This window comes from Homo sapiens, chromosome 14 (assembly GCF_000001405.40).
Source record: "Homo sapiens chromosome 14, GRCh38.p14 Primary Assembly".
In the NCBI taxonomy this organism is placed as follows: domain Eukaryota; kingdom Metazoa; phylum Chordata; class Mammalia; order Primates; family Hominidae; genus Homo; species Homo sapiens.
Window position 1 is genome coordinate 90,742,475 of NC_000014.9, and position 17,759 is coordinate 90,760,233.

General features: G+C 43.2%; 1 protein-coding gene and 1 long non-coding RNA gene across 4 annotated transcripts in view, besides 1 other annotated feature; one reads left to right on the plus strand and one right to left on the minus strand.

Annotated features, from left to right (window-relative positions):
* TTC7B (tetratricopeptide repeat domain 7B) overlaps window positions 1-17,759 on the minus strand; it is a 291,867-nt gene that overhangs the window by 217,911 nt on the left and 56,197 nt on the right. For all 3 annotated transcript variants that reach the window (NM_001320421.2, NM_001010854.2, NM_001401365.1), the window contains exon 4: window positions 2,318-2,448. In NM_001320421.2, coding sequence (NP_001307350.1) covers window positions 2,318-2,448 — 131 coding nt within the window. The remainder of the gene's footprint in view (window positions 1-2,317; window positions 2,449-17,759) is intronic.
* Window positions 15,854-16,193: a silencer, noted in NCBI's record as "silent region_6012". NCBI's record gives its function as "represses an Ori minimal core promoter by ATAC-STARR-seq in GM12878 lymphoblastoid cells {active_cell/tissue: GM12878}" and the evidence as "EXISTENCE:reporter gene assay evidence [ECO:0000049][PMID:35858748]".
* LOC124903360 (uncharacterized) lies at window positions 16,087-17,043 on the plus strand. Its single transcript, XR_007064302.1, has 2 exons — window positions 16,087-16,426; window positions 16,518-17,043. It is a non-coding gene; the product is annotated as an uncharacterized LOC124903360 (long non-coding RNA).

Genomic DNA, 17,759 nt, shown 5'->3' on the forward strand with positions numbered 1-17,759 from the left:
ACCCAGCCTTATTGAGCACTTTCTCTAAGTAAGAGTGTGGAGAAATGTCATGCTTTTTCTTTGTTTGCAGCAGCCTGGGAGAATAAAGTGAGCCAGCACTAAGCTAGGTGTCGTGTGAGTGGAGTTCTAAAACTAGTTTTGGCCTAACTTTCTGTGTGCCTGGGCTCTCCCTTTCTAGACCTCAAGTTTCTTCTCAAAATCCAACATCTTATGATCACCATTTCCCCAAAATCAAAGAAAAGGATTTCTTTTAAATCCTACGACTATACAAGCCTCCTTGATGTTCCTGCTGAAGAACCCAGCACTGAATGGGGTGTTGTGAGTGAACATAACAGAAGTGTATTCAGATCTACCAATTCCTACATCACTACAGACACATGTAACACATGAGCCTCCTTTCTCCCAGCCGGGAGAAGACGGCTCCAAAGTGACAGGGCTGGACAACAGTGGAGAGTAAGCAGCAAGATAGGGCCCTAAGTGGCCAGGGCTGTGTAGTCAGCTGGAACAACTCAGATGGGATAAGCAGACTTCTCGACTGCCAAGCACGGTCCATCAAGGAGGCAGACAGTGGAAATAATGGAGGTTTTTAAAGGAGCCTGGATGATCATTCCTTTAAAGATCATATCGTAAATTCTGAATAACAACAACAAATTCTCTTCTCATAGCAACCTTCTGATAGAACATAATTCTGGCAAGACAGACATGTATCTTCCTGAATTCCCAGATATCTTAAACCATGGCTTATAATCCATTCTGGTTGAGGCCAGGTCAAATGTTATTCCCATCACTCTCTCCACCTCTCCTGCTGTGATTCTCACTCTAATCTCCCTGCCTCCTAAAAAGGCAATTCTGATGCATATCATATGCACCAACACATGACAATATGATTTATGAAAAAAAGTTACTTCCTGTCTGTTCATTTATAAAGTAACAAAAGCTAGGGAGACTTTGGCAGTCTCTCTCTATTCTAATCTTTACAAAAACAAGGAGCCCAGAAAATTGCTGGAAAACAAGACCTCCAATCATTTTCAAAGTCTCATAGGATTTCTAATCATTTCAAACACTCTTGTAGGGTACATCTCTGGGTCTGAAGGGGTCAATAGCAGTGTCCTTGGTGAGAACTCCAGGAAACACTGCCAGCAACAGCAACTGCTAGGAGCTATTGTTATTAATAAAAATAAGTGACATTTACCAAGAATCCAATATGTTCACGAATCTGGGCTAAGTGCCTTTATTCACAAGACCTTATGTAATCCTCACAAAAGCTTCATGAAGTAGGAACTATGATTATGTTCTTTTTATGGACGGAAAAAATCGAGGCTGAGAGGTGAAGAAACTTAGTAAAGAGTAGAACCCAAAGATGAGAATCTGAAACAGGCATGTTGCCTCCACCTCCCTGGCCCCATCCAGCCTCCAGCCTCCAACCTCCTCTGTCTGAGGCTGCGAGCTTAGAACCCCGAGCTCACTCGTTCTCTGCTCAGAGGCCCTCTTGTCAGCTGCTCGTTTCCATCACCCACACCACAGGCGAAGCACTGAAGGCTGAGACCATCCCTGATGGTCTCCGGGGATACCCGATGTACTCAGCTCGGTCTACTTCGGTCCACGTCCCCAGCACCTTTGCCATATCTGTCAAGGTAAGGCCTCCCAAGCCCCAGATGAACAGGTCTTGGCACAGAGTCCATACAAGTACAAATGAAGCTCAACCCATTTTATTAGGAAGACAGGGGTGGCTGGCCAGCTTCAGGGTGCTGAAGGTATGAACAGATGCACACTGTCATTTCTGCTCAGAGGATGCTAAAATGCTTCACAAACACTGAACCATCTATTTTTCTTTCTTTCTTTCTTTCTTTTTTTTATGAGATGGAGTTTTGCTCAATGGCCCAGGCTAGAGTGAAGTGGTGCAATCTTGGCTCACTGCAACCTCCATCTCCTGGGTTCAAGCAATTCTGCCTCAACCTCCCAAGTAGCTGATTATAGATGCCCGCCACCATGCCCAGCTAATTTTTGTATTTTAAGTAGAGATGGGGTTTCACCATGTTGGCCAGGCTGGTCTCAAACTCCTGACCTCAGAAGATCCACCTGCCTCAGCCTCCCAAAGTGCTAGGATTACAGGTGTGAGCCACCACGCTGGCCCAACCATCTATTTTTCATAAGCTACAGCAATCACTACCACACTCTCCTTAGCTTTAAGGAGTACAAGTAAAGCTTTGCACACAGAGACAGACAAGTTGAAAGCTTCCTAGAGATTAATCTCAGTTGTCCACTATCTGATTTGAGGGAAAAAGTTATCAGGAACAAACACGTGGTCCTCACTTACCCTTTCTATCTCTTGGAGATACAGGAGTGCGATGTCCCCTGCTTTCTCATAACAGGTGATGACATCCTGTTCCCGGTCCACATGGAGATTACTGGTAGAAGAAGAAATAGGCAGCTTCTCCAAACAAAGTCCTTAAAAAAATATCAGACACAAAAACTGAGTGAATTTTTTTTCATAAGGCTTCATTTTTAAATATTGCTCTAGAGGGCCAGAAGATGGCTGTAGAATATCATGTTGTTTGCAAATAGACAGTTTACTTCCTCCTTTTCAATCTGGATGCTTTTTATTTCTATTGATTGCCTTATTGCACTGGCAGGAATCTCCAGTACCATGCTGAATAGAAGGGGTGACAGCAACCGCCAGCTGTGGTGGCACCTACCTGTGATCCCAGCTACTTGGGAGGCTGAGGTAGGAGGATCACTTGAGCCCAGGAGTTTGAGACTGCAGTGAGCCATGACTGCACCACTGCACTCCAGCCTGGGCAATAGATGGAGACCCTGTCTCCCAAAAAAAAAAAAAAAAAAGAAGAAGAAGAAGAAGAAGTGGTGAGAATAAATATCCCTATCTTATTCCTGATATTAGGGAGAAAGCATTCAGTCAGAAAGCATTAAGTTTGAGATTATAAGTTTTTCTTAGACGCCCTTTACCAGGTTGAAGAAGGTGCCTTCTACACCAGTTTTGCTGAGAGTTTCTATTAAGAATCAATGTTGGATTTGCTCAAATCCTTTCTCCATGTTCATTGAGATAATCATATAGCTTTTTTGCTTTTAGTTTTTAAATGTGGTTACATCGACTGATCATCAAATGTTAAACCAACCTTCCTTTCCCAGCAAAAATACCACTTGGCCAGATGAATTATCCTTTTTTATATTTTTGGATTTGATTTGTTAAAATTTGCCTTCAATTTTTGTTTTTCTTTTTTTTTTTTTTGGAGATGTAGTCTCGCTCTGTCACCCAGGCTGGAGTGCAGCAGTGCGACCTCGGCTCACTGCAATGTCCACCTCCTGAGTTCAAGAGATTCTTCTGTCTCAGCCTCCCAGGTAGCTGGGACTACGGGCGCATTCCACCACACCTGGCCAATTTTTTTTTTTAGTAGAGATGGGGTTTCACCATGTTGGCCAGTCTGGTCTCGAACTCCTGACCTCAGGTGATCTGCCCGACTCAGCCTCCCAAAGTGCCGGGATTACAGGTGTGAGCCACTGTGCCTGGCCTCAAATTTTGTCATTTATGTTTCTGAGGAATATTTGCCTAAAGTTTCCTTCAAATGCCTCCATATCTGGTTTTGATATTAGGTAAATACCAACCTCATAAAATGAGAAATATTCCCTCTCTTTCGATTTTCTGAGAGTGTTTGTGTAGAGTTGATATTATTTTGTCCTTAAATGTTTGATAGAATTCACCAGTAAAGCCATCTGGACCTGGAGTTTTCTTTATGAGCAGCTTTTCAATTACAAATTCTATTTCTTCGATATAGGGTCATTCAGATTGTCTCTTTCTTCTTGAGTAAGCTTTAGTAGTTTATATCTTCCAAATAGTTTGTCCATTTCTTTTGAGTTGTCAAATTTATTGGTATAGAGCTGTCCATAATATTCTATAATCCTTTAGTACCTGTAGAATCTTTAGTAGATGGCACCTCTCTCATTCCTGATAATTGGCAATTTCTATCTTTTCTTCCTGATATCAGAGGTTTATCAATTTTACTGAAATTCTCAGTAAAGATTCCTTGATTTCATTGACTTTGGTTTCATTGATTTTTCTCTATCCTTCTTCTGTTTTCGATTTCATTTATTTCCACTCTGATCTTTATTATGTCCTTTCTTCTGAATACATTGGGCTTTATTTGCACTTCCTATTCTAGTTTCTTGAGGTGGAAATTATTAATTTTGGACCTTTTTATTTACTAATATAGGTATTTAGTGTCAGCAATTTCTCCGTAAGGTCTGCTTTAGCAGCATCCTACAAATTTTGATATTCAGTTCACAATATTTTCTAATTTAACTTTTGCTTTCTTCTTTAGAAGTGTATTATTTAGTTTCCAAATATTTGGGAGTTTTCCAAAGGTCTTTCTTTTACTGATTTCCAAGTTAATTCCATCATGATCTGTGCAGTAAAGGGCTGACTTAGAGCCTTGGGATGTTCAAACCCTGTACATTCCAAAGGAAGGACTGGCCCTTACCAGTTCCTGGGAGAAAAACTCTTAAGCCCTCAGAATATCCTACCTGACAAGTGTCTTTGTTTATTTGGAGCCTTGAGCCATACCAGATAGTTTATGCTAACAATGTTATTAATGGCAGAGGACTAGGGCCATGCTATATCAGTCTGATCTCTGCAGGGGCTGGAGACTGACTAAGGTCAGTAACATGGGTGCTCCATGCCTATGTGACTGACCCCTAACAAAATCCCTAGGCACCAAGGTAGCTCAGGTAATCTTCCTTGATTGGCAATATTTCAAAAGTACTGTCACACTCCGTTGCAGGGAGAATTAAGCACTGTCTATAGGACTCGACTGGGAGAAGAAAACCAGAAGCTTGAGCCTGGTCTCTCCTGAATTCTGCCCTATGTGCCTTTTTGCTTTTACTGATTGTAATCTGTATCCATTTGCTGTAATAAACTGTAACCATGAGTATAACAGCTTTTCTAAGCTATGGGAGTCTTTCCAGTATATCAATGCCTGATGGTAGTCTTCAGGACCTCTGACACAGTCCAGAGAACACACCCGAAGTCTCCTAATTTTGTTAAAACTTGTTTCTGACCCTGTATATGGTCAATCTTGGTAAATGTTACATTTGAAAAGAATGTGACTCTGTTGTTGTTGGGTGGAATGTCATATAAATGTCGATTAGGTCAAGTTGGTATATTGTGTTGTCCCAAGGCATCTATATCCTTACCAATCATCTGTCCACTTGTTTTATCATTTATTGAAACATGGATATTGCAATCCCCAAGCATAACTGTGCATTTGCCTATTTCTCCTTGAAGTGCTATCAGTTTTTGTTTCATGTATTTTAGAACTCTGTTATTAAGATCATAAACCTTTGGAATTGTTATATTCTTTTGATGGATTGACATCATTGCTCTAAAACCTGCTTCGTCTGATATTAATATAGATACTACAGCCTTGAATTGATTAGTGTTAGCATTTAAATTTTTTCATCCCTTTACTTTTAATCTTTACTTTTAATCATCCCTTTACTTTTAATCTATACTTTTAATCTATTGTGTCTTGGTATTTAAAGTGTATTTCTTGTAGACAACAGAGTTGAGTTTTGCTTATTTTTTCCAATCTGACAATCTCTAACTTTTAAATAGGGTATTTAAATCATTTATATTTAATGTAATTTTTTAAACAGATAGGTTTAAATCTACCACTTTGCTGTTTGTTTTTTATTTGTCCCATCTGTTCTATTTTTCCTTTTTCTCCTTTTTTTCTGTCATCTATTTGAGTATTTTTACATTTTATTTTACTTATTGGCTTAGTCACTAAAATTTTTATTTTCCATATCAGTGATTGCTTCAAGGTTTAATTTGGCATAGTCTACTTTGTTTTGTTTGTTTGGGACAGAGTCTCACTCTGTTGCCCAGGCTGGAGTACAGTGGCGCGATCTTGGCTCACTGCAACCTCCACCTCCTGGGTTCAAGCGATTCTCGTGCCTCAGCCTCCCAGTAGCTGGGACTACAGGTGCACACCACCACACATGGCTAATTTTTTTTTTTTAGTAGAGACAGGGTTTCACAATGTTGGCCAGTCTGGTCTCGAACTCCTGACCTCAAGTGATCTGCCCATGTTGGCCTCCCAAAGTGCTGGGATTACAGGCTTGAGCCACCATGCCCAGCTCCTACTTTAAATGATATTATACTACTTCACATATATATAGTATAAGACCTTTACAATTACATACTTCCATTTCTCCCCTCCCAGCCTTTATTATCTTATGTACATTTTACTTTTACACAGGTTAAAAACCTTACCCTATGTGGTTATTATTTTTGTTTAGTCATTTTTTTAACATTTAGATCATAAGGAAAAATTCTTGTATATTCACCAAATTATAATTTCCAGCTCTCTTTGTTCTCTTGTGTAAATTCATATTTCCTCCTGGTATCAACATTTCTTGTAGGGTAGTTCTGCTCCTGCTGATTTCTTTCAGCTACTATCTGCCTTGAAAATACTTAATTTAGCTCTAATTTTAGAGAGAAATTTCATGGAGTATGGAATTCAGGTTAACAGTTTGCTTTTTTCCCCCTCCATTACTCTCAAAGGTGCTGCTTCACCGTATTCTCACTTGCATGGTTTCTGACAATAATTCTGCTATCACCCTTACGTTTGTTCATTTGTATATAATATGTCTTTTTTCCTGGCTGCTTTTAAGATTTTATCTTTATCACTGGTTGTGAGTAATTTAGATTATGAAGTGCTTGGGCTTTGTTGAGCTTCCTGGAACTGATGGTTTATAGTTTCCATAAAATTTGAAAAACATCCAGCCATTTTATCTTCAAAAATGTTTATGTCACCCTCCTCCTTCCTTAGGGGACTTTACGCACATATTAGGCCATGTGAAGTTGTCCTACAGATCACTTATGGTCTTTCCACTTAAAATATAATAATTTTTCTTTTTTTTTTTTTTTTTTTTGAGACAGAGTTTCGCTCTTGTTGCCCAGGCTGAAGTGCAATGGCGCAATCTCAGCTCACTGCAACCTCCACCTCCCAGGTTCAAGTGATTCTCCTGCTTCAGCCTCCCGAGTAGCTGGGATTGCAGGCATGCACCACCACGCCTGGCTAATTTTGTATTTTTAGCAGAGATGGGGTTTCTCCATGTTGGTCAGGCTGGTCTCGAACTCCTGACCTCAGGCAATCCACCTGCCTCGGCCTCCCAAAGTGCTGGGATTACAGGCATGAGCCACCGCACCTGGCCAATAATAATAATTTTTCTTTCTTTCATTTTGGATAATTTCTATTGCTATGTCTTCAAGTTCACTAATCTTTTCTTTTGCAATGTCTAATCTGCCATTAATCACATCCAGTGTACTTTTCATATCAGACATGGTAGTTTTCATCTCTAGAAATTTGATGTAGGTCTATTTTTACCATCCACGTCTTTACTAAACTTTCTGAAATAAGGAATACGGTTCTAATAACTTTCAATGGCCCTCCAGCCTAGGTTCTCAATATTCATTTTCTTTCCAGTTAGCACCAATGTTGTTTATGCAATTGAAAATAATCAATAAGTAGCCTCTCTCTAGTGTGAACTGTTATAACCTCTTGACATTTTCATTGGAAGAGAATATAAATAAAATGAACAAATTCACCATTTGCCAGAATAGTTCCAAAGCTACTCAAAAGCAAATCGCAGATTTGGAAGCATTACCTTCCCAAATATGCTTTAAGTGCTCACTTGCGCAAAATTAAAACCACCAAAAACAACACAAAGAGATAGATCATTTCATAGTCTGCCTTCTGCTTATATGAAAAGCAAGAATACTGTGCAAGTTGATATCAGGGATTTAATATTTAAAAAACTAATTCCCCAGAGTATGTCAAAGGGTCAGGAAAAATTGAGTGTACTTTTAGGCATTTTGTACTGCTTCAGGCTGGACTCTGACCACTAATGCTCATGAAAATGACCAAGGCTCTCAGAGACCTGCCAAGCCAGTGAATCAAAGAAAGGCCAAATCCAGTTCAACATAATTTTACTATCATCTATATTTTATCATGTTCTTAAAATACTTGAAAACCAATCATCTAGGGCAGCAATCCACAGTCATGTATGGTCAGTAAGAAGATTCAAACCAGCTACACAACTTAATCCTCCACAGTGAGGAGAAACTAGTGTTTCCTGTGGGTTCATGTTCTAATTAGGCAGGTATGTGGACACTCAAAGTCTCAGCTGGCAAATTGATTCCTAGCAATAAGTCCATTCTTGAGCAGAAGGCCCTTTAAGGTATTAAATTAATTAAGTATTGTTCCTTTCCCTCTCCCACATGCTATGGCATTTATTCCATGTACACATTTATTCCATGGACACATCTCAGAGCAATGGCAGAGTCTTGATTTATCACAGTGAGTTTGTGCCTATGCAGCTCAGTTCCAGAAAATTTAGCTCTCTGTCAGAAGCTATTTACAGGCCCTCTGGACTGGTCTATAAATTTTCGAGTGTCCAGGATCATATCAACACTGTCTGAGAAGCAGAGTCCTGAGGTCATGGACAAAATTGGTCCCCATTAAAATGTCAGATGATGTACTGTCAATTTGGGAAGCTATCATCAATAATGTTTTTACTTATTTTCTTTTTTCCAGAGACATGCCTGACAAAAATAAGTGAAAAGCAGACTTGAAAAACAGTGGTATGACAGCAATGCCTAGTAAACATCTCAATAAGATCTACATCTCCAAAGTTAAAGTGATGTACAAAAAGGGTGGAAATTCAGTGCTTTCTCACCAACCATGACCAGCTGTAAAGCATGAGTGCTAAAAGTGGCTGACTGAGTTGTGTGATTTAAAGAACAATGAATTGCCACGCAACCCAAAATTTATCTCCCTGCCACACAAGAGCGCTCCCACAGATAAACTCACTTCTGAAATGCCCTTTCTAAGAAGAGTAACACCTTTTACTTTATTTTTAAGAGATAGGGTTTTACTCTGTCTACCAGGCTGCAGTACAGTGGCATAATCACAGCTCACTGCAGCCTTGAATTCCTGGGCTCAAAGCAATCCTCCCGCCTCAGCCTCCTGAGTAGCTGGGACTACAGGTGCATGCCACCACACCTTGCTAATTTCTTTTTATTTATTTTTTTATTTTTTATTTTTTATTTTTATTTTTTGTAGAGACAGTGTCTCACTGTGTTGTCCAAGCTGGTCTCAAACTCCTGACCTCAAGAGATGCTCCTGCCTTGGCCTCCCAAAGTGTTGGGATTATAGACATGAGCCACTGGCCCCAGCCTAGGTAACACATTTTAAATAAATTAATGATGATAAAATTATAATTACACTTGCTTTCAAACCCCTTCCATGTGCCTGTTTGGTCCTGTTCAATAGGTACTATTCTCCTCTCTATCTCGTGGGAAAAGAATAAGAGTCTCAGAAAAGTTAAGTGACTTGCCCAAGGTCCATGCAGGAGTCAGAAGTGGAAGCCCCTTATAAGGGAGCCCATTAGCTGGGGCCAATGCATCTGCTCTGGGTAATGTCCTAGAGGGGCAACAAGGACTGCTGAGTGCACAGGGTGGAGTGTGGAAAGCAAAGGTGCTAGACAGAAGCCAGCAGACCAATGGGACATCACACGGGGAGGGGTGCTGGGCAGCTAGCTGAGTAGCAGGCTGAGGACCCTCTATACTTTTAAAAGCTCAAACATGCCCAGCCTCTGAACTGTTCTATGTAGATGTAACTAACAGAATATAGTATAACAAACCGGACTCTCCACTCCTTGCTTCCTTTCACATCAAGATTAAGGGTCAGGTGCAGTGGCTCATGCCTGTAATCTTAGCACTTTGGGAGGCCAAGGTGGGAGCATTGCTTGAGCCCAAGAGTTCGAGACCAGCCTGCCTAACATAGTGAGACCCCATCTCTACAAAAAATTTAATTTAAAAAAAGAAAGATTCAGGCTCAATACCTCTGACAGGGAGCTATTTTCTCTCCCCAAGGCCTGTAGATTCTCTGGAAGTTTGGCTGAGGACGTGGAGAAAGCTACACATCTCATTGCCTGAAAATTCAGTGATCACTGAGGGGTTAGCACCCCAAATTCTTTCAGGTCTGTCTAGATTTGAGATCCCTCAGCTAGGAGCCTTATCTGGGTATGTAAGACTTCAGTTTCAATAATAATAAAGGTTGATTTATCAAAGCCCTACTCAGCACCCAGCACTATGCCTGGGATATGACAGGCACTATTTCTAATTCCCACAGCCACCCTGAGAGGAAGGTGTTAACACCACCTTATAGATAAGACTGAATTAAGGGCTCCACAGCTAGTAAATGATAAAGCCAGGTTCCGACCCCTGGTCTATCTGACTACAAAGTGTTGCTCACAATCTCCTGTCTCACTGAGCTGTTGACAGCAGCCTATTCAGTGTTCAATAACAGCAATGACAACAAAAATGAATTTCAAATTGAAAAGGCAAGAAATCAAAGTCTAGAACTTTAGGGTGCTGATTTTCTTTCCTACCAAGAACTGCATCACCCTAGGCAATTCCCCAGATCGCTGGGCCTCCTATTCTTTGTCTGTGTCATGAAGAGTTGAACTACTGAGATACTGCCTTGAGCTGTACAAGTCTAAGAGACTAACAGCTAAAACAAATATTTTGATTTTTTTGAACTGCATTGAAATGGACAGGAAATTAATTTCTTATAAAGCTATGTAATGCAAGAAAAGACTATAAAATATAATGACATGAACTATGTACTATAACTCTAAGCACTGCTTCCTCATTTATCTCAACCACATCTCTGGAAGCCAGGCCTGGGACAGGTACACCCTGATGCTTTGCCATAACATGACCCACAGGGGTGTTTATAACTGAAAGTACCAGAAAGCCTTTATTATAATGGTAAGTTTCTGACAACCCAGCCCCATGGTATAGCCTTCAAAGGTGATAAGACAACGTCCAAGGGTCTCAATTTCCAAGGCTGAAAAGAGACTCAAGAAAAGAGATTCAAGAGACACAAAGCAAAGCCTTGGCAAGGGCAGCCCCGATGGCTGGTCTTGTGTTCTTGCCTCTATAAAGGCTGGGCTCCCACAGGTGTCAGATAGACTTAGCTCAATAGGAGGACAAGGCCCTGTGCAGGGGTGTAGAGGGGAGGAGAAGATGCCAATGGAAACCACCAAGTGCTGGGGGGAAGCAGAGGGACAGGGACGCCGGCCTGGATCCCCTGTGAGGTCCCTGTCAATCCAGAGCATCTATGATTTAGGAAAGTCTCTTGGCTGGGAGCCACAGTTGGTCCCTTCTGAGTGCTTTCCTGAATTGCTGTTTTCCTGCCAGAGACAGCATATCCTTCTTAGGAGGTGTGCTCACAGGTACACACACAAACACACACACATCCCTCATAAAAGAAGAGGATGCCAGCCTTGGATTAGACATTCCCCTGCTAGAGCAGATGGTCTTTCAATGTCCCTTCCAGCTCCACAATTCTGTGAGCAAATGAGATGCTAGCTCAACCTGAAATGCTCACTAACTGAGAGTTTGCAACTTGAATTTATGCTCTTTCAGTCTCTATTTAGTAACCCTATAATAGTAATAAAGATAACATGTATTGGGTGCTAGTTACATGTCAGATACTGTTCTCAGAGTTTGTGATAATTCATCTATAAATGCTATGAGGGAACCCTGTGTGAAAACCCTACGAGGGGGGATTTACTAAAATCTCCACATTGGAGATAAGGAAACTAGGGCTCTAGTCTGTCAAGTAACTCACCCAAGAGTGTACAACTGGTAAGTAAGTGGCAGAGCTAGGATTCCAACCCAGACAGCCTAACTCCTGAGTTCTCGTTCTCAGCCTCTACCTCACACTCTCGTCTCTATGATGTATCTGTCTTTATACGTAAAGCAGTACAGCAGAGTAGCTAAGACTGTGGGATCTGAAGCCAGACTCCTTGCTTTCTAATCCACAGCTGATTTTATATGCAAAAATGCTAAGTGTTTAGAACAGTGCCTGGCATATAGCAGACACACAGAAAACAGTAACTCTGATTATTATTATTTATTACCTCACTATTAGATTTAGGCAACAGTAGGCTGGAAAGTCTCCAAGTAGAAGAATTGTATTTGTTTATTATATTACTTTTGTATATATTAAATAACAGCTTGATTGAGATATTATTCACATACCATAAAATTCACCCATTAAAAGTGTACAGTTCGGTGGTTTTAGTATGTTCACATAGTCGCCACTAGCTAATTCCAGAACATTTTCATCACCCCTTGAAAAGCCCCATCTCTATCAGCAGTTCCTCCCTATTCTACCCTTCTCCCAGCCCCCGGGAACCGCCAATCTGCTTTCTGTCTGTCTGTATTTGCCTCTTCTGGATGGTTCACAGAAATGAAATTGTAAGGTATGTGATCTTTCATATGTGGCTTCTTTGACTTAGCATAATGTTTTCAAGATTCATAGCTGTTATAACAAATATCAGAACTTCATCCTTTTTTTTCAATTGAGGTGAAATTCACATAACATAAAATTAATCATTTTAAACTGATCACTTCAGTAGCATTTAGCACATTCACAGTTATTACACAACCATGCCCTCTGTCTAACTCAAAACCTTCCTTCCTTTCTATTGCCGAATAATATTCCATTATACGGATACACCACTTTCTATTTACGCATTCATCAGCTGATGAACAATGGGGCTGTCTCCACTTTGGGGATGTATGAAGAATGCTGCTATGAGCATTGAGGTATTGGCTCTTGTGTGGGCACACATTTCCACTTCTCTTAGATATACACCTAGGGACGGAATTAGACATATACCTAGGGTGGACCACGTGGTAACCTGTCTTGTTATATTATTTTTCATCTTTCTTCTAAAAATCACCTCTACTATGTAACTGCTGAACTGCTGGGTCAAATATTAAGAGTGACAATGCAGAGCTGGGCACAGTGGCTCATGCCTGTAACCCTAGTGTTCTGGGAGGTCAAGGCAAGAGGATTACTTGGGGCCAGGAGTTTGAGACCAGCCTGGGCAACATAGTGAGACCTCATCTTTAAAAGAAATAATAATTTTTTGTTTGTATTAGCTGTGCATGGTAGTGCACACATGTAGTCCCAGCTACTCAAGAGGCTGAGATGGGAGGATCACTTGAGCCCAGGAGTTCAAGATTACAGTGAGCCATGATCACGCCACTGCACTCCAGCCTGGGCAAAAGGGCAAGACCCTGTCACTAAAAAAAACAAAAAAACAAACAAACAAAAAAAAAAAACAAGAAAATGTCTGGGCTTCTGACAGACCTGGATGCAAACCCTTGCTTCTCCATTTACCAGCTCTGTGATTTGCAGCAAGCTGCTTAACATCACACAGACTCTGTTCCTCATCAAGCGAATGAGCAAAATAGCACTTGTTTCAACTGACTGTTAGAAGGCTCGGCCCAGTGCCTGGCATGCAGTAAATACTCAATAAGTACTCTTCTCATTATATGTCTTTCCTGGGACAATGATAATCCTCCTCAATTTGTTTTGAGGGGTAGCTGAAAAATGCAGAAAAGCATCAAGAAGACAATAACAACCACCCATATTCCCACCGTTCAAAATCAAACACAGTTCACATTTTGGCACAGAGCCACAACCTTACTAACACATGATGCCTTGTAATTTTGGTCTTGGTTCTAGTTTCCTTCCTAAGAAGAGGGGACTCATCACTGGTGTGATGAGTAAGTGTAGCCTCTGAGGTCCCCAACTATAGCAAGGAGTGAGAGCAGCCAGTGAACAGGAGTCCTGTGCTTGCTCCATTCCACAAATTCTCACTAGGCACCAACTGCGGGCAGCACTCTGGGCTAGGGGTGGGCTTCACAGAACAGGACTCTGCCCTTAAGAAATCTCTTTGTCCTTGAGAAATTTCACCTCTAGTGGAAGAGAAAGATGTTTTATTTTATTTTCTTCTTTTTTTTTTTGTTTTTTTTTTTTGTTTTTTTGTTTTTTTGAGACAGTTTCAGTCTTGTCACCTAGGCTGGAGTGCAATGGCGCGATCTCGGCTCACTGCAACTTCCGCCTTCTGGGTTCAAGCGATTCTCCTGCCTCAGCCTCCCGAGTAGCTGGGACTACAGGCGTGCGCCACCACACCCAGCTAATTTTTTGTATTTTTAGTAGAAACGGGGTTTCACCATGTTAGCCAGGCTGGTCTCAAACTCCTGACCTCAGGTGATCTGCCTGCCTCGGCCTCCCAAAGTGCTGGGATTACAGGTGTGAGCCACCGCGCCTGGCCGAGAAATGTTTTCAAAACAATGTTAAAAATGCAGTGACTGAGACAGACATGGTGTCACAGAAGAATTAAGAACAAGCACCTCAGCCAACCTGAACTAAAGCTCCAGCCCTCTGAGCTTCCTCTGGACTCTCTAAGTCCCTGCTTGCTTCCAAAAAGAGAACCAATGAGGAGCCGACTAACACAAGCAACATTAAATATGAATATGGGTCAGTGGCAATAAAAGGGTTCTTACTCTTCTTACACTCTCTAAATATAAACAGGAAGCTTTGACCAGCAACCTGAGATGAGCGGCCACATGCAATACACCCATCTAGCCGCCCACCATGAGCAGAATCCAGAATGGGAAGAGGCAGAAGAGATCATGGAGTCAGAGACAAACAGTTAGCAGAAGGCTTAACGTGGTGGATCTCCACCAGGCATGGCCCCACAGCGCCCCCTCACAACCCCTACTACCACATCTCTGGGTTTCCTACATAGGCAAAAGAAAGCACCCCGGAAAGCTCCCCTGAACCACCCCGTTCCCTCCACTCATGGACTTTTCTATAAAACTACTTGTTTCACTGCACCCGAAGTGATCTCAATGTTTCCAAAAATGAAAAGCAGTCCTGGCGCGGTGGCTCACATCTGTATTCCCAGCACTTTGGGAGGACAAGGTAGGAGTATCATTTGAGCCCAGGAGTTTGGGGCTGCAGGGAGCTATGATCGCACTACTGCACTCCAGCCTGGGTGACAGGGCAGGACCCTGTCTCTAAAAAAAGAAAGAAAGAAAAGAAAAGCAGATTCTCAAGGAAAAAAGATCGAGCTCTATCTTCTCTCCTGTCCTCTCTTTGCAAATGAGGAGATTCAAGCTCAGAGATGATTTGCCCAAGGTCACATGGGCAAATCCTGATCCAATGAGCTTACTACCACAGCAGGTCCACAGCAGTTGCCACACAGCTCCCAACAGACTGGAGACTTTTTCTGCCGGGGAAAAGGCAATGTCAGTGGTCACTTGTCTGTCCTACGGCTCTAGGATGACACCTAGAAGATCATGGTCATTAGCAAATATCCAATTCATAAAGACTGGGATTAGATCTCACTTGAAGACATGAATCTCTCAAGGAACACTCCAGGAAAATCCTCTTTGGGCTTTTATAGTCCTTATGACCAGGAATTTTCGGTCCACGAAAAATATGACGTACTTCAATTCCTGCTAAAGCAGGAAACGCACCTTTACATCCTTTCTCTTTGTAAATACCCACGCATTGAATGTTTAACGTATTAAATGCTGTCAGCTTCTACGAGAGTCTCTATAAATATGGTCTCAGAAAACAATAAAGGGGCACATCGGTGAAGGCTCAGCTGCTGCCTGCGAACAGCCAGGGCCTGTGAGTGTGAACGCCTCCCAGAGAGCTCGGCTTGGTGAGTCCCTAAGAAGGCTCACTAATGCGAGGTTAATCAAGAGAGTTGGCAAGTTTGCCTTTCTTCTCCATCCCTGAACTCGAGTTGAATCGCGGAATCAACCCAAGTACAGGGGCTTCAAATGGTCAGCCGGCCTTGGGGCACCACTGTCCCGGTGGCCGCGGCAGGAACCAGTCCTGCAGTCCTGCGGCGGCACCTGCGCGAGATGCAGGGCACTGGCTCCAGGACGGCGGGGCGGGGCGGGGCGGGGCGCGGCGGGGCGAGAGCGCAAGGAGGGGCGGGGCGAGACGGGGCAAGAGAGTGGGGCGGGGCGGGGTCGGGGACAGCAGTGAGCGGGGCGGGGCGAAACGCGAGGGGAGGGGAGATGGGCGGGGCGGGGCAGGGGGGGCACGGTCCCAAGGCCGACCCGGCCGAGGACGCCCGGAGCAGCTCCGCGCATGCGCAACTGTGGCGCGCGACTGCGCTAGAACGCGGCTCCCGCGACCCCTGGCGGCGGCTGCCGAGGGGCTGCGGGACGACCTTGGGCGGCAGCTAGCAGCGAGTCCTAGCTGATGTGGCCCTGAGTCAGCTTTTAGAGGTCCCAAGACTCGTTCACAGGCCGCTAAACGCAAACTAAGGCACCTCCCAGCACACCAGGATCGACGTGTCCTCCTTCAGTCCGGACTCGGCGGAATCTGCACCTGGGAGCCCCTCCCCAAATGACCTGCTAGCCGCAGTCCAGGAAGCAGGCACCCCTCACTCCCCTTCTCAAATGGGGGCTCTATTCCTGTCTCTAGCTCTGGAGTTGTTGTGAGGATAAAGGGAGGTAAGGGACAAGTGCTTAGAACAGTGTCTAGAAGGAATTATTTTAATGCTGTAGTCATTATTAATAATGTATTATATTTTTACAATTCCAGAACCTGGCACACAGTAGGCACTCAACAAACCGTTCCTCTGTCTGTCTTGAGAGACTGCGGTGGGCCCTGCAGGGCAGCTGCCTGCCTCTGCCTGGTTCGAGGAAGGCCCAGCCAGGCCGGCCCCAGCTTCCTTCCTGCTCTTCTGTCCCACTCCGACCCACTCCGGAGAGCCACGCTCTGAGCCGCACATGACTCTCTCCTTCTCCACAGAACAATCTGTGTTCTGCTCCCGCCCCCGAGAGAGTTCTGAGCTTTCCAAATATGGATGCTTTTTGCATTCCCAAAGCATCACGAACATTTGGGAGAAGAAAATGAACACCAGACATGGTTTGGAAACGATGGAAGCCAAGGGATGGGTGGTGACGGAACAAGCACCGTACTAGGAGTTTTAAAATATAAAACACGAGTCTGGCCTAGGTGATGTCTTACAACCTTACTAGCTTTGTAGCAGTCTAGGCCCCAAAGAGATCCTAGAAGTAAGCACCCAAACCCTAAGAATAAAAACTACAGCGGCCACCACCACACATTGCAGAGGCGAAAACTGCATTAAGGAGGCCCAGAGAGTCACCTGCTGTCAGAGGAAATGAGCAGTGGGAGGCAGTCCCTTGAGAGCCAAACAGCTTGAAAGTTGACAAATTGAGATGAACCAGCTCGTCGGTGAGTGTAGGCAGAAGAGGCATTAGACACAAGAGTATTTGTTTTTATATCAGGCCCAAACCAAAACCTATTCTGAAATGGAGTGGATCTCAGAATATACTGAGAAGTTTGCCCTTTTGCTTAGGCACCTTGTGTGTTATTCAGCTAGAGTTTATCTTCAATAGTGTGCCCCTGGATGCCAGGGCAAAATGTTAAAGAATGGCCCCGTCACAGGCACCCCTGTGCAGCAGGCACTGTTGTCCCTGGCGCACATGCAGGGAGATAAAGCAGGCAGCTTAGATATGACACAGCCTCAACACCCAACCCAGAATAAGCACTCACATATTTGCTGATTTAATGAATTAATTAATTATACAGTCTAGTTTGAGAGAGGCAAATGGCAGATGTGAAATAATTAAAATCTGAATGCCAAATTAGATGGTACTAGCTATAAATAGAGGTGGAATCAGAGGATGGAGAGATTGGTGTGGACAAACGGGGCTGGAGAGGTCTGTATGCAACAACGGGTGTCACCAAGGGCGGACTCAGCACAGGGAAGAGATGACTCCCAGATGGATGGAGAAGATAAACAGAGGTGGGGGGTTG